The sequence below is a fragment of the Homo sapiens genome, chromosome 2, assembly GCF_000001405.40.
Source record: "Homo sapiens chromosome 2, GRCh38.p14 Primary Assembly".
In the NCBI taxonomy this organism is placed as follows: Eukaryota; Metazoa; Chordata; class Mammalia; order Primates; family Hominidae; genus Homo; species Homo sapiens.
In genome coordinates this window covers 113,611,239-113,624,850 of record NC_000002.12, presented here as the reverse complement: position 1 = coordinate 113,624,850, position 13,612 = coordinate 113,611,239, and the positions used below count along the sequence as shown (strand labels likewise).

General features: G+C 39.3%; 1 pseudogene across 5 annotated transcripts in view; it reads left to right on the top strand.

The window, feature by feature from the left end:
• Window positions 1-13,612, top strand: part of RPL23AP7 (ribosomal protein L23a pseudogene 7) — a 15,900-nt pseudogene extending 2,288 nt beyond the window's left edge. For 3 of the 5 annotated variants that reach the window (NR_000029.3, NR_024529.1, NR_024528.1), the window contains one exon: window positions 12,604-13,612. The product of NR_000029.3 is annotated as a ribosomal protein L23a pseudogene 7, transcript variant 3 (transcript). Of the gene's footprint in view, window positions 1-2,689; window positions 2,739-2,834; window positions 3,126-12,603 lie in introns of those variants that run through there. The other 2 variants (NR_024530.1, NR_024531.1) reach the window with 2 other exon arrangements.

The window sequence follows — 13,612 nt, the reverse complement described above, 5'->3', positions numbered from 1 at the left end:
GTAATTTGTAAATCCTCTGCAAACAAAACGTTGGAAACAAGTAGTGTTTTGGCTTGAGTTTCCTGTAAACGGCTTACAGTCGTTGGGTTAGGGTTGGGTTAGGGTGATGGTGAGGGTGGGGGGTGAGGGTTAGGGGTTAGGGTTAGGGTAGGGTCAGAGTTAGGGTCAGGGTCAGAGTCATGGTTAGGGGTTAGGGTTAGGGTCAAGGTCAGGGGTTAGGGTTAGGGGTTAGGGTTTAGGGTTAGGGGTTGGGGTTAGGGGTTAGGGGTTAGGGTTAGGGGTTAGGGGTTAGGGTTAGGGTTAGGATTAGGGGTTATGGTTAGGGTTATGGTACTGTAAATAATTTCACATTATTACTAATAATAAATTATTATTTGTATTACACTATTACATAATGTAAAGGCTATTAAGACATGTTTGTCTTCAAAGAATGGCCTTGGTTTCTGTGGGCAGTGTCCTCATGGAAAGGTAATGAGTTCCTGCTAAATCATGGACAAAACGGGCTTCCAGGAGCTACAGGCTGCAGCAGCAGCTTCTCCTCTACGTCCTTCACTGCCTCATACTGTTGTTGACTTTGAAAGCTTTTTTCAGTCTAGTTTTATCAACAGCTAGTATTTTCATGAGGTTCTACTACATACCATGTTCCAGAAAGCTAAATGCCTTTTGTTTGTTATTATTCACTAAATACAAATCACAACTCTCTCCTCATTACTCACACAACAAAATTTAGCTGAGGGAGACTGAGTGACTGTCCCAGGGTCACACAGCTACTAAGAGCAGAGTCGTGTTTAGATTCATGTGGGAATACTGAACACAGACATGAACCAGTGGAAACATCCTACGTTCCAAAAGCCTACTCAAGCCATTTGTTCTTATTTTAAGGAAAATCTTTATGCTAATTTTAAACTCCAAATACTTATGAATGGCAGAGATCTACAGATTTGATTCTGATGTAAGAAATGATGGTCACCAGCTGGTTACTGCTACCACCCCACAACCCCGAGCATACTGGACGAATGTCTAAGCCTTGTGGTTAGTGGGGACAATGCTGGTGGAGTCTGAAGTTGTCATGCAGTGACTCATGCAAGCTTAGGCAGATTTGGTGATATACGACACAGAGATGCAAAGAAATGTTGTAGCTGACACACACCGGCTGGCTCTGGGAGATGCAGAAGGAGCACGTCACCCAAAATAGAGCCAGACAGACATCCTTAAGGAAAGAGCCAAGGGGCTGCATCTTAAAGAATGAAGAAAGGATTTGTCATGAGAGATGGGACAGGAAGTTCTTGAGAGGCAGAGGGAGATTGTGAGAATGTTGGGAAGGGAGGAGAGATTCTCGCACATCTGGGAAGCTGACAATCCATCAGCATGTCCAGAAGGAAAATAAGGAGGAGGAGCAGAAACAGATGAGGCTGGATATAGAAGCAGGGCTGAAGCTGTGTCGATTGTGGTAAAGAGTTGCGATTCTATCCAGAAGGCAATAGGTAGCATTCTAAACAGAGATCTTTTAAAACAAGAGTCAGCAAATATTTTCTGCAAGGGGCTAAGTGTTAAATATTTCAAGTTTTCCAAGCCATATGGTCTCTCTCTCAATGACTCTGCTCTTCCATTATACCGTGAAAGTAGCCAGAGACATTATGTAACACATGTATTGGCTGTGTCCCATTACAACTTTACTTACAAACGCAGACTGTGTCAGACATGGTCCATGCATGGTAGTTTGCCACACTCTGTTTTAGAAAGCTCAGGTTTATGATGTGATGGAGAATGCCCACAAGAGCTCTTGTTTTAAATGGTAGAGTGAACATACACTGGAATTCTATCCTGCTTGACCCAAGCTCTTGATAGCGAAAGGTAGAAAAGATAGATGGTAAACAGATAGATAGATGATAGATAAAGAAAATACATAGCTGTTCCAGAAAACAGAAATGGATAACTTCATGAACCAAAAGCAGAGTAATATACTTTAGAAAGGAAGCAGGCCAGAAAACCCACAGTTGCAAAGCAAATAGAATTTCCAACTGCCTCTTGTAGCCCCTTCCTGGAAGTAGTCACAGCCCAGGGTGTTTGACTTCTTCCTCTGTTTTTTGTTTGTTTGTTGTTTGCTTTTCTCTGGGGTTTTTGTTGTTGTTGTTTGCTTTTTTAAAAAAAAATTCCCTTTCCCTGCTTTTTTGTCACAGCAGCCTTTGTCACTTCAAACACCGCAAGTGTTCTTTAAAAAAAATTATATCAACCTTTCAATTAAAATGCAACATGTCTGAAACTTGGTATCTGGAGAGGTGAGTTGGACAAAGGAGCCCTTGTTACTGCATGTTTTCATTCTTCAAATTTCACCTTGCACGCAGTAACAGACAGTGCACAAAGCCACTTCCTTATGGACGGAAATTCTGAAATCCTTTTATGCCTGGCCTTTCCATCCTTCATCTTCCCCTCTCCCACACTGTGAAGGATCGTATTGGACATTTTTGTTTTAATGTCAGTGACAGGGGAACACAGGTAGCTCTAATATAGCTGTGACCCAGATGCTTCTGTTTCTAGCACGTATTTATTTTGCAGCAAACATTTACATCCATGATGTTTTACTGTTTTTTGAAAATAATTAGGCAATATCTCATCTGAGGTAGGATGTTTCTAGGGGTTGTGTTCTGAGGGAGGAAAACTAATCTGTTCTCTTTCCACTGCATTCTAGGAACAGTAAGAGGACCTTGTGCATGAATAATTTGTTTCCACACTACAGAGTGGGTAATAAGCAGATTAGTAAAAACAATTCTGCTTCACTTCAATAACAGCCTCCTCCAACTCATTTTTTCTCAACAAACTTATTTTTCCAGCAGAAGAATCCCAGTCTTCTTAGAGAACCCAGTGACTTTTTGCACCTTAAATCTGTGAAATCCTCATGTTTTCTTCTGCCGTATCCATAGTTCAAACAAAGATGAGGCAAAGCTAGATGCATTCCTGAAGGAACCCAAGAAATTCCTCTCTTTATTTCTCTGGAATGAAATGAATTCTCTAGACGACCAGTTCTAACCTTCAAAAACCAAACCTGTTTGTGAGATCTCCTTCAAATACTACTGTAGACCCCAGTGTTTATTCATTAAATTTTAAAATATTTGTTTTATTTGGAATCCATGTATTTGTAATTTTAGTGTTTGTATTAATATAAGGGAGAAATGTTTAAATCTGTCTATGCCATATGTGCCTCTGGCTTATTGCCCAATTAATTGTAGCCTCAGGCTAAACTTTGGTTTCTGTCTTTAATTTTTGTCAGAAGAAATATAACTGATCTCAAAACATCTGCTTTTATTGTAGGGGCTCGTGCTGCCATCTCCATTCCTCTCTCTTTTCTTGCAATCTGGGTGGAAGTTCTTTAATATGAACATTTCAACCACCTTCATTCTACCATATCCACTATCAGCACATTCAAACTTATCCAGCCAAGGCTGTCATCTTAGGCCAGGGATTTTTTAGGAATCTATTATGCTGTGATGCGGCTGGCACCCCTTTGACTCACTGTATCACCCCAGGGTTCTTTTCATTTCAGAAGCCCAAGAGGGCAGAAAAAGAAGTAGGTGAGCAATTAAACCCTCTGAGTCAGGAGCGTCTCACCTTGCGTTAAGCAATGTTGTAGAACATTGTGTTTAGCAAGCTCCTAGCAGATGAGCCACGTGGCTGCTGAGCACACACGCCTGCTTGCTGCTGTGAGCTCAGGCACCATCAACATGTCTTTTCCATCTCTGGAGGGAATTGTAAGGGCCACTTAATAACCTGTAAATCACAGAGAGTTAAAGGTGCTTCCCCAAAACACTGATGACAGAATGAAAGGTGAGGAGTGTTAGCCACAGGTCACAAAAGTGCAGGAAAGTCCCTCAGTGTGGGTTGTTGAAGAAATGCAGGTCTTTTTTCTTTTGGAAGTCTCCCTAGAATGGGGTCAAGGACTCTGCCCATTCTAGGATGAAAAATTGGGATATTAGACACTTTCAGATATTTATCCCCAGCTTTCATTTTGGGCTCTTAATTAGTTTGTTCATCCATCACAATCTCAAATGCTAAGCAGGGCATTTGAATCTCTCCACAGTGCAAATCAGCGCCGTCTTTTAAAGTTGAGTTTCTTATTATTCTCACCTGATATACCTTATTTATCCCACACCCACCCCAATAACATATCGTGCTCACTGCTATCTTTGAGGCAACCCTTGAATTTTACTCAGCCTGGAGCGCTCTTCACATGTCTTGTCCAGAGCCAGTTCGGACTCATTCTTCAGCCGTGCATCAGTCAGTGGGGGCTAGCTTAAACTGTGGTGACAAACAACCTCCAAATTTCAGTGGCTCAAAAATCTTCTTCCTCATTTATTTACATCTCATGACTGGTCAGGTGAGAGGTAGCTCTGTGCTGTGTCATCCTAACACAGGAATCCAGAAGGAAGGAGGGACCATCAATAAGATCCCCATTGCTATAGAAAAGAGAAAAAAGCATGCGGAATAGAACGCTGTTTCTTGGAGATTTCTCCTGAAAAAGTCACGTTATTTCTTCTCACCTCCATTGGCAAAAAAAAAAAAAAAAAAAAAAAAAAAAAAAAAAAAAGTCATGTGGCCATGGGAAAATTTAAGTAGGTGGGATGGAACAGTCAGAATGCATTCATAAAAAATGAACTGAAAATATTTGGAGAACAGCACCAATGACTATCATGAATGCCAACATACATCCCTAACAACCCAGTGCTGTTACCCTCCAAACTTTTTATGTCTTGCAAAGTATTAGAACTTCATATCTGAAGCCATACCACTCAGAGGGAATGCAATACATATTGACATCTCCTTTAGGATGTCCATAGAGAATTCAAGAAAAGAAATAATTTAAAAGTGCTTTTGGGTACAGCTATTTAGCACTAGAGGGTAAGAGTAGAGATAGATTGTAAAGATAATAATAGGGTTAGGCATAGGATTAGGATCTGGGTCAGAGTCGGGGCCGGAAGTATGGTTAGAGATGGGGTCATGGTCAGGGTCAAGATCAAAGTCAGGGTTAAAGTAAGGGTCAGAATTAAGGACCAGGGTAGGGATCAGGATTTAGGTTCAGGCTCAAAGTCTTGGGACAGGGTTAGGGTTAGGATTAGAACCAGAGCTTTGTTCTCAGGACCCACCCGCGGATGGGTCACCATGGCTTTGGAGCACCTGGTAGTGTGGCATGTCCACAGTGAAGACCAGAGTTTCGTTGTCCTTAAGACTGACCTGGGAGACGTGGCTGCAGGCCATTGAGGAAGGTGAGGCAAAAGCTTCCTGTCTGCTCCCCGTGTGCTGAGGAGGGAGCTCTGCCATGGGCTTTACTTTCACACGTTATATTCTACAAGTCTTGTTTTACAAAAGCATCCCTTCCTTGAGGCTTCGGCTGCTCATCGCTGCTCATCATCATAGCGTGCCATAACATATAGTAAGATTTGGGTTTGTTTCTGGGAGAGATCTTGGCATAGAGAAAGGAGAAATGCTTAGAGCCACCATCAAGACAGTTGGGATGAAAGCTGGGGATAGGCAGAGGCTGGAGGAAACATGTGCACCCCTTGTAAACACTTATTCATGTTTTAGTTATTCACTTAAAGTGTTAAATTAGTAAAAATAGTATTGAAAAATTGAAAAATAGGCATATTAAAACTTGTAACACTATTTAAGCTTAGATATATTATTTGTACCTCATCAACATTTTTTATTTTGTTGAGAAAGTGTAAGGTTAATTGGCAGCATATTTCTAATAGTAGATAGAATAATGTCTGTTTTATAAACATTGACATCCTACATTACATGTGTGAACCCTGAAAATCTGAGACAGCTCTCAGATTTTTTAGAAAGTTTATTTTGCCAATCTTGAGGATGTGCGCCCGTGACGCCTCCCCAGGAGGTCCTGACAACATGGGCCCAAGGTGGTCGGGGCACAGCTTGGTTTTATACACTTTAGGGAGACATGAGACATCAATCAATACGTGTAAGATGTACATTGGTTCAGTCCAGAAAGGTGAGAAGGCCAGACAGGGGGCTTCCAGGTCATAGGTAGGTAAGAGACAAATGGTTTCATTCTTTTGCATTGCTGATTACCCTCTCCAAATGAGGCAATCAGGTATGCATTTATCTCGGTGAGCAGATGGGTGACTTTGGATACAATGGGAGGCGGGTTTACCCTAAGCAGTTCCCAGCTTGACTTTTCCCTTTAGCTTAGTGATTTTGGGTCCCCAAGATTTATTTTCCCTTCATAAGGTTTTCCTATGAGCATTAATTATTCATTGTGTATTTTATCACACAAATAAGGCACAGATTTTTAAAAAATCATCAACTTCCTGGCTACCTATATAGACATAATTACATAGAAGCTCAACTAAATTTGCAAACATTCCAGAGTTTGGGTTTCCAATAATTCTTTGTGATTCTTTAAAAGGTAAAGTATTTTTTTCCCATAAAACATAGCAACATTTAAAATCACCCGTAGAATGTCCTGCTATTTTTGTTTCTGTAGTTTCCTCATTTTCTGCAAAGCCTCGCTGAGGAAATTGACTTTGAATATCCTTTTACACTCTTCTGTTTTAGAAAGCATTGTGGTAAAACATTGAATCATCATGGTCATAAGTTCTGTTCACATTCTTTCTTGCTTTGAATATTTTTTCCCAGTGGCCAATATTTGATTCTGTTGTATCATGGCTAAAAGGTAGGCATGGCAACAAAATAAAGACAGGAAGTCTTTGGAATAAGTGATCCCATCACAATGAATCAATTTGCCATTGGAACATATTTTTACAAAGTCACTCTTTTGAAAATATTTAGCTATGAATTAAAACAGAGTCTGTATGGTTAATATTTTTCCTGGTCTAAAGTGAACAGCATTTTAGAGAATGAACTCAGGACACAACCACAGCACAAGAAAAACGTGATAATTAAGTTTACACATATGTGTTACTACTGCAACAGAAAACATGTAAAGAACATTTGATTTATGTATCAGTCTGCACTGTTTAATTTTTTGTGTCATAAATACTCTTATTTAAAAAAACAGGACTAGTTAACAGTGTCAATTACTAGTAATTCATGGTATAAATAATTAAACAAGGAAGTGTTCAAAAAAAACAGTGTTTTAAATAAAGTTTTATTTTACATCATCTTTTTTACTTACACAGAAATTGTCAAAAAAAAGCAGAGATTTCCCATGTAGCCGCAACCTAGTTTCCTCTCTTATTAACATCTTCTATCAGTGTGTCTCACATGGCTTATTAATATCTTACATAATTTGTCACAGTTAATGAACCAATACTGATAGACTATTATTAACTGAAGTTCATATTTCATTTGGATTCCCTTAGTTCTATCTTACTCTGACCCAGGATCCCATCCAGGATCCCGCATGACATGTAGACATCACGTGGGCTCTTCCTGGCTGTGACAGTGTGTCAGGCTTTCCATCTCATGATGACCTTCATAGCACTGAGGAGGATTGGTCAGGAATGTTGTAGAATGTCCCCCATTGTCACTTCATGTTCTCAAGGTGAACTGTCACCTTTGATGTTCACTTGGATCATTTGGAAGAGCTAATGTTTGTCAGGTTTCTCCACTGTGAGGTTATTTCTCCTCCTTGTCCATACTGCATGTGTTCTTTTGGAGCAAGTCACTATGCAGAGCCTCACTCCGTAAGGAGTTGGCTCCACCTTCTTGATGGCTGAGTGTCTACATCAATTATTTGGAATTCTTTTGCAAAGGAGATTTCTATGCAACTCCATTTGCTTATTCACCGAGGTATACAAATACAGACACCTAGATAATTACTTTAAGCTTTAGTTATTATTCAACACTACAGTATTATGTTGCACAATTCATTCCTGTGTTGGCCATCAGTAGCTGTTTTTATTGGCTCTTATTTTTCTTTGATATGTTTTAATTTTTTTAGTACTTACTTTCTGATACTTCCAGATTATCCTGGTTCCTATATTTACTGTCCCAGTTCTAGTATCAGACATTTCTTCAAAGAGCCTGATTCCTTTCAGAATGGTAGGAAAACTTACATCTGGCTGCTGAATGAACACATTGTATCTTCTCCCTCATTGGCAATGCTAGGAAGTATATGTGTGTGTCTAACCTACCTATACACACCTAATTATAAAGTTTTCTATGTAGAACTGTGTGTGTCTATATTAAACTAAACATAAGTTTACGTTGATGTCTCCACCTCTGATCTACTATCACATGAATCATTCTAGCCTTCTCGCCTTGCTAATTTGTAACCTCCCACTTCAACAGTAAGAAACCTGGTTCCCACCATCTGCGACTTATGTAAGTCATTGTTTTATTCCAGATACAGACACTGTGGTTTTACAATTGTTCACAATTGCTTCTGTTGGAAAGAACTTTATAAAATGGAATCCAATAATGAAGTATAGTTCATGTGCCTTCAGCCTACAGATTCTATTCATTTTCAAAGTTTTTACCTAGATTTGTGTCTTAGTCCATTTTGTGCTTCTGTAACAGAATACCTGAGGCTGCGTAATTTATAAGTAAAAAAGTTTCATTTGGTTCACAATACTGGTGGCTGGAATGTCTGAGATTGGGCAGTTGCATCTGGCAGGGCCTCAGTCTTTTTCACCTCATGGTGGAAAGTGGAAGGGGAGCAAGGGGTGCACCAGAGATCACATAGCAGAAGTGAAAGCAAGAGGGAAGCCAAGGAAGCCAGACTCTTTTTAATTACCTACTCCTGCAGGAATTATCTATTCCTGTGAGAACAGAACTCACTCACCCCCATGGAGGACATTAATCTATTCATGAGGGATCCGTCCCCATGACCCAAACACCGTCCACTAGGCCCCACCGCCCCACACTGACACAGTGGGAGTCAAATTTCAACATGAGTTTTTGTGGGGACAAACCACATCCAAACCATAGTAATTTGTAGCATAAATTCTTTTTCACATGATGTATTCTGTCCTGGGATACTCCACATCCTGAGTAATTTGATTTAATTTGAATAGAGTTTGCTTTAACCACTTGGCTGTAAAATTCTGCATATTTCGACAAATGCATTGTGACAGATATCCCACTATTAAAGTATCATATGGAATGCCTCAAACCCCCACCCCATGGAGCCAATGGCTTCCCATCTGTGTAGTTTGCCTTCTCCAGTGTCTCATTAAATGAGGTCACACTGTGTGTATCCTCCTCAGACTGTCTTCTTCCACTTAGCAATGTGCATGCAAGATTCACTCATGTCTTTGTGTGTGTTGATATCTTGTTCCTTTCTATGGCTAAATAGTATTCCATTACATGAATGTAGCACAATTTGGTTATGCATTTTGGGGAGCAGAACCTTCCTCTTCTAACTTTGTTCCAGGGTTGGAGACCTTCAAATTAACTGACAATAGATACATTAGTAGGAGAGACAATACTTGGCTTCTTGTTCCCCAAGTATCACTGTGGGACAAAATTCATCAGATGGCAGGATCCAGTTTACAAAGAGGTAAAAATAGCCCAGAAACAAGAAACAAGACTAGAATCTGATAACTCACAATGGCTATAGTTTTCCTTTAAAAAAATTTTTTTTGAGACAGGGTCTGGCTCTGTCGCCCAGGCTGGAGTGCAAAGGTGCAATCTCAGCTCACTGCAACCTCTACCTCCTGGGTGCAAACGATCCTCCCTCCTCAGCCTCCTGATTACCTGGGACTACAGGCACATGCCGTCATGCCCATCTAATTTTTGTATTTTTGGTAGAGACGGGGTTTCACCATGTTGCCCAGGCTGATGTTGAACTCCTGGCCTTCCAAAGGGCTGTAATTATAGGCATGTGCCACCATGCCCGGCTGTGTTATACTTTTCCTTTGAAAGATAAAATTTCTCTCTGTAGTAACCATCATTTTTGATCATAATCAAAGTAAGACTATTCTTGTTTTAAAAATAAGTCTAGTTTTGTTAGATTTTGCTTGATTATTTACGTAAGTGCAGCAAGAACAGGAGATGACCACGTAGGTGCTTTCAGGTTTCTTTGCTGGAAGTTTTCATACAGAATCTCAGATTTGACTTTTAAAGGCCTTATTCAGGCTAAAAGCCAAGCCAAGAACATACTGTCAAATTTCAGCTGCAGTCCTTATAGCTTTGTGTGAATTCCTCTCTTCTTGAGGCCCCAAAATATCCCTAAATTCCTGGGCCTATCAGGAAATGACCTTCCTTACTAACCTATAAGGCTGTGAACCCTGTAATCTAGGTATCAGGCTGGGTTTTCTCAGAGTGCTGTTGGGAATGAAGTTTTTTATGTTCCCCCCTCAAAAAAAAAGAACTAACATGGGAACAAATGATCTCTTAGCAAGGCGAGCTTTATTTTTCTGCACAAAGGGTGCTACTCAATAGCTGTCCAGCTACAAGAGCACACCAAACAAAGGAGACAGAGTTACTTATAACCTGACGTGTTTACCCTACTGCTGTGTCCAGTTTCCATTGGCTGGAATAGGACCTCCCATTTTACACTTTACCCGATTGGCTGTTAGTTTAAAACTTTCTTAATTAGGTAAGGGGAATAGAAGAAAGAAAGAAAAGGAAGTTGCCCAGGGATAGTTAAGGAAGCATCTCCAAATAAGGAATGGCATGCACTATGGGCTGGGGCTTGTCTAGTTCTGTCCAGGCATGCTGGAGCAAGCTAGGACAAGTGATTTGGAACACACACACACACACACACACACACACACACACACATACATATAAAAATAGTGGGTAGTTGTGACTTTATAATCTTTGAGGAAGAACTTTCCTCAAAGTTTTCCACAGTGCTTTGTAAGCATTGTCTCCATAAAAGTCAACCTTACTTCCTTAAAATTGCTGGTCATAACTGATCTTAGGTACACTTCCTAAATATGATATTCCAGTAAAAACCTTGATAATATAACCAAAATTTCCAATTATGTCCTGTTATAAGGTGAATAGATTCTTATTGGACTTTTGCTAACAACTATATCATCGTGGAAATAAGAGTATTCAGTAAGGATTTCAAAATTCTGGAAAAATCAGGCAAGAAAAAAAGATAAACGCTTCATTTCTGTTTACAAAAGTATAATCTACTAAATTGTTGTAAGTTACAGTTAGAGTAAGAGAAAGAGATTTCTTAAATCCAGAAACTAGAATATTAACCAGCAATGCTCCAAAAAGCTATACAATTATAATCAATTTTCATCAGTTCATTCAGTGCCATGTAATCAATTCCAGTCTTGTGGATCTTGAGTTAGCAGTGTCATGAACCCATCAGGTTCCCAACCGGACTTCTGGAGACCTTAACTGAGTCAAGTGTATGGTCTTAAAGTTATTTAAGCAATATCATCAGAAGCCTATAACCAGAGTACCTGTCATAGTCTTTTCTGTGAGTCTCAGAGGGAGTCCTGTCTTGGAGACGAACATTCTGACCTGTAGTTGATTGCAGGAGCTTTCAGGAAAGCATCAGGGGGAAATAATATCTAAATGACAAAAAGTATGAAATGGCTGTGATGAAAGATCTGATGAGAGTTCGTTATACCACAACTGACAAGGATATTCGATTTTTTCTGTGGCAGACAACATTTATTTATTTATTTATTTAGAGACAGAGTCTTGCTCTGTCGCCCAGGCTGGAGTGCAGCGGTGCGATCTCGGCTCACTGCAAGCTCTGTCTCCTGGGTTCACGCCATTCTCCTGCCTCAGCCTCCCGAGTAGCTGGGACTACAGGTGCCTGCCATCACGCCCGGCTAATTTTTTATATTTTTAATAGAGATGGAGATTCACCGGGTTAGCCAGGATGGTCTGGATGTCCTGACCTTGTGATCCACCCGCCTCAGCCTCCTAAAGTGCTGGGATTATAGGCATGAGCCACTGTGCCTGCCACAACATTTAAAGTAATAATTGGAATTATGACTCATTACTCTATAGTGGCACATAGCATGGATAAGGAGGACATTGACAAACTTCCAGGAATTTTATATAATTTCTGAAAACATAACATTTTACCCATACAAATATAACACAGGGAAGGTTAGGTATCTCTTTTTATTTGTATCTTCTGTATGGTTTTCCTTATAAAAAATGCAACCTACTTTACTTGCGAAACATGCCCTACTTTTCTTGCATGCTTTGCATAGAGTTGTTTCTAGTTATTCTATTATTTCTAGTAGTTTTATTTACATATATTGATTATAATTTTAATACTTAGTAATCTTTTATTTTCCAGAGAAAACTAGGAAGTAGACAGTTATAAACTGTCATATATTAGCATTCTATAGTAGGTTAGAAAATGTATGAATATACCATCTCCCAACATCTAGAGGGATGTGTTTCCTCATAATACAATTCCTCAGTGTGGCAGAAAAAAACATGTTTATTAACGGGCCAAAATATCTTTAGTCTCTCTGTAAAAATAGGAAGCCAAAAGTATATAAACTTGAATTATTTATGTTCAGTAATTAATGTTTTAGTATTGTATCTTATTTATAAATGGTCTAGATATTTAATGCAAATCTTTTAATTAAATTAACTTTAAGGTTAAAAATTACCAAAAGTACTTTGGAAACTATTCTTAGGCAGATTTACTGTAAACAAATTATTTTTGAAATAATGTTTTTCGCTTTTCACAAGATGGCACCGAAAGCGAAGGAAGCTCCTGCTCCTCCTAAAGCCGAAGCCAAAGCGAAGGCTTTAAAGGCCAAGAAGGCAGTGTTGAAAGGTGTCCGCAGCCACACGCAAAAAAGAGGATCCGCATGTCACTCACCTTCAGGCGGCCCAAGACACTGTGACTCCGGAGGCAGCCCAGATAGCCTCAGAAGAGCACCCCCAGGAGAAACAAGCTTGGCCACTATGCTATCATCAAGTTTCCGCTGACCACTGAGTCGGCCGTGAAGAAGATAGAAGAAAACAACACGCTTGTGTTCACTGTGGATGTTAAAGCCAACAAGCACCAGATCAGACAGGCTGTGAAGAAGCTCTATGACAGTGATGTGGCCAAGGTCACCACCCTGATTTGTCCTGATAAAGAGAAGAAGGCATATGTTCGACTTGCTCCTGATTATGATGCTTTCGATGTTGTAACAAAATTGGGATCACCTAAACTGAGTCCAGCTGGCTAACTCTAAATATATGTGTATCTTTTCAGCATAAAAAAATAATGTTTTTCATAAGAATGACAACTTAATTAGAATCAAATCTATAAGCTTTAAGATTTTACGTTTCTAGTAAGTATAATATTAGCTTATTTGACTAGAACTCAAGCAGAATAGGAATTTATGCTTGTTTTATATTCAATAATGATAATTTTGAAGATATAGTTGTTTTATTACACCAAAAATACTATATTAATCTTATTTAACTAAGTTTTATCCAAATCATGTTAACTTAAGAAACATTTGATCAGTTCCTATATTTCTAGGAGTTTGGTGAATATTTATTTATAAATGCTTATTTTTTTCCAAGCCAAGTTAGAATAGAGCACTTTTAGAGGATTTCATAAATGAATTTTGCAATGCTCTCTGGAGTTAAGAAAATATCACATATACATAACATACATTATTAGATACACAAACACAAATAGAGATTTCATAGCTTTCATCCTGAAATTTCAGCCATGAATCAGGCATAAATATTCTGATGG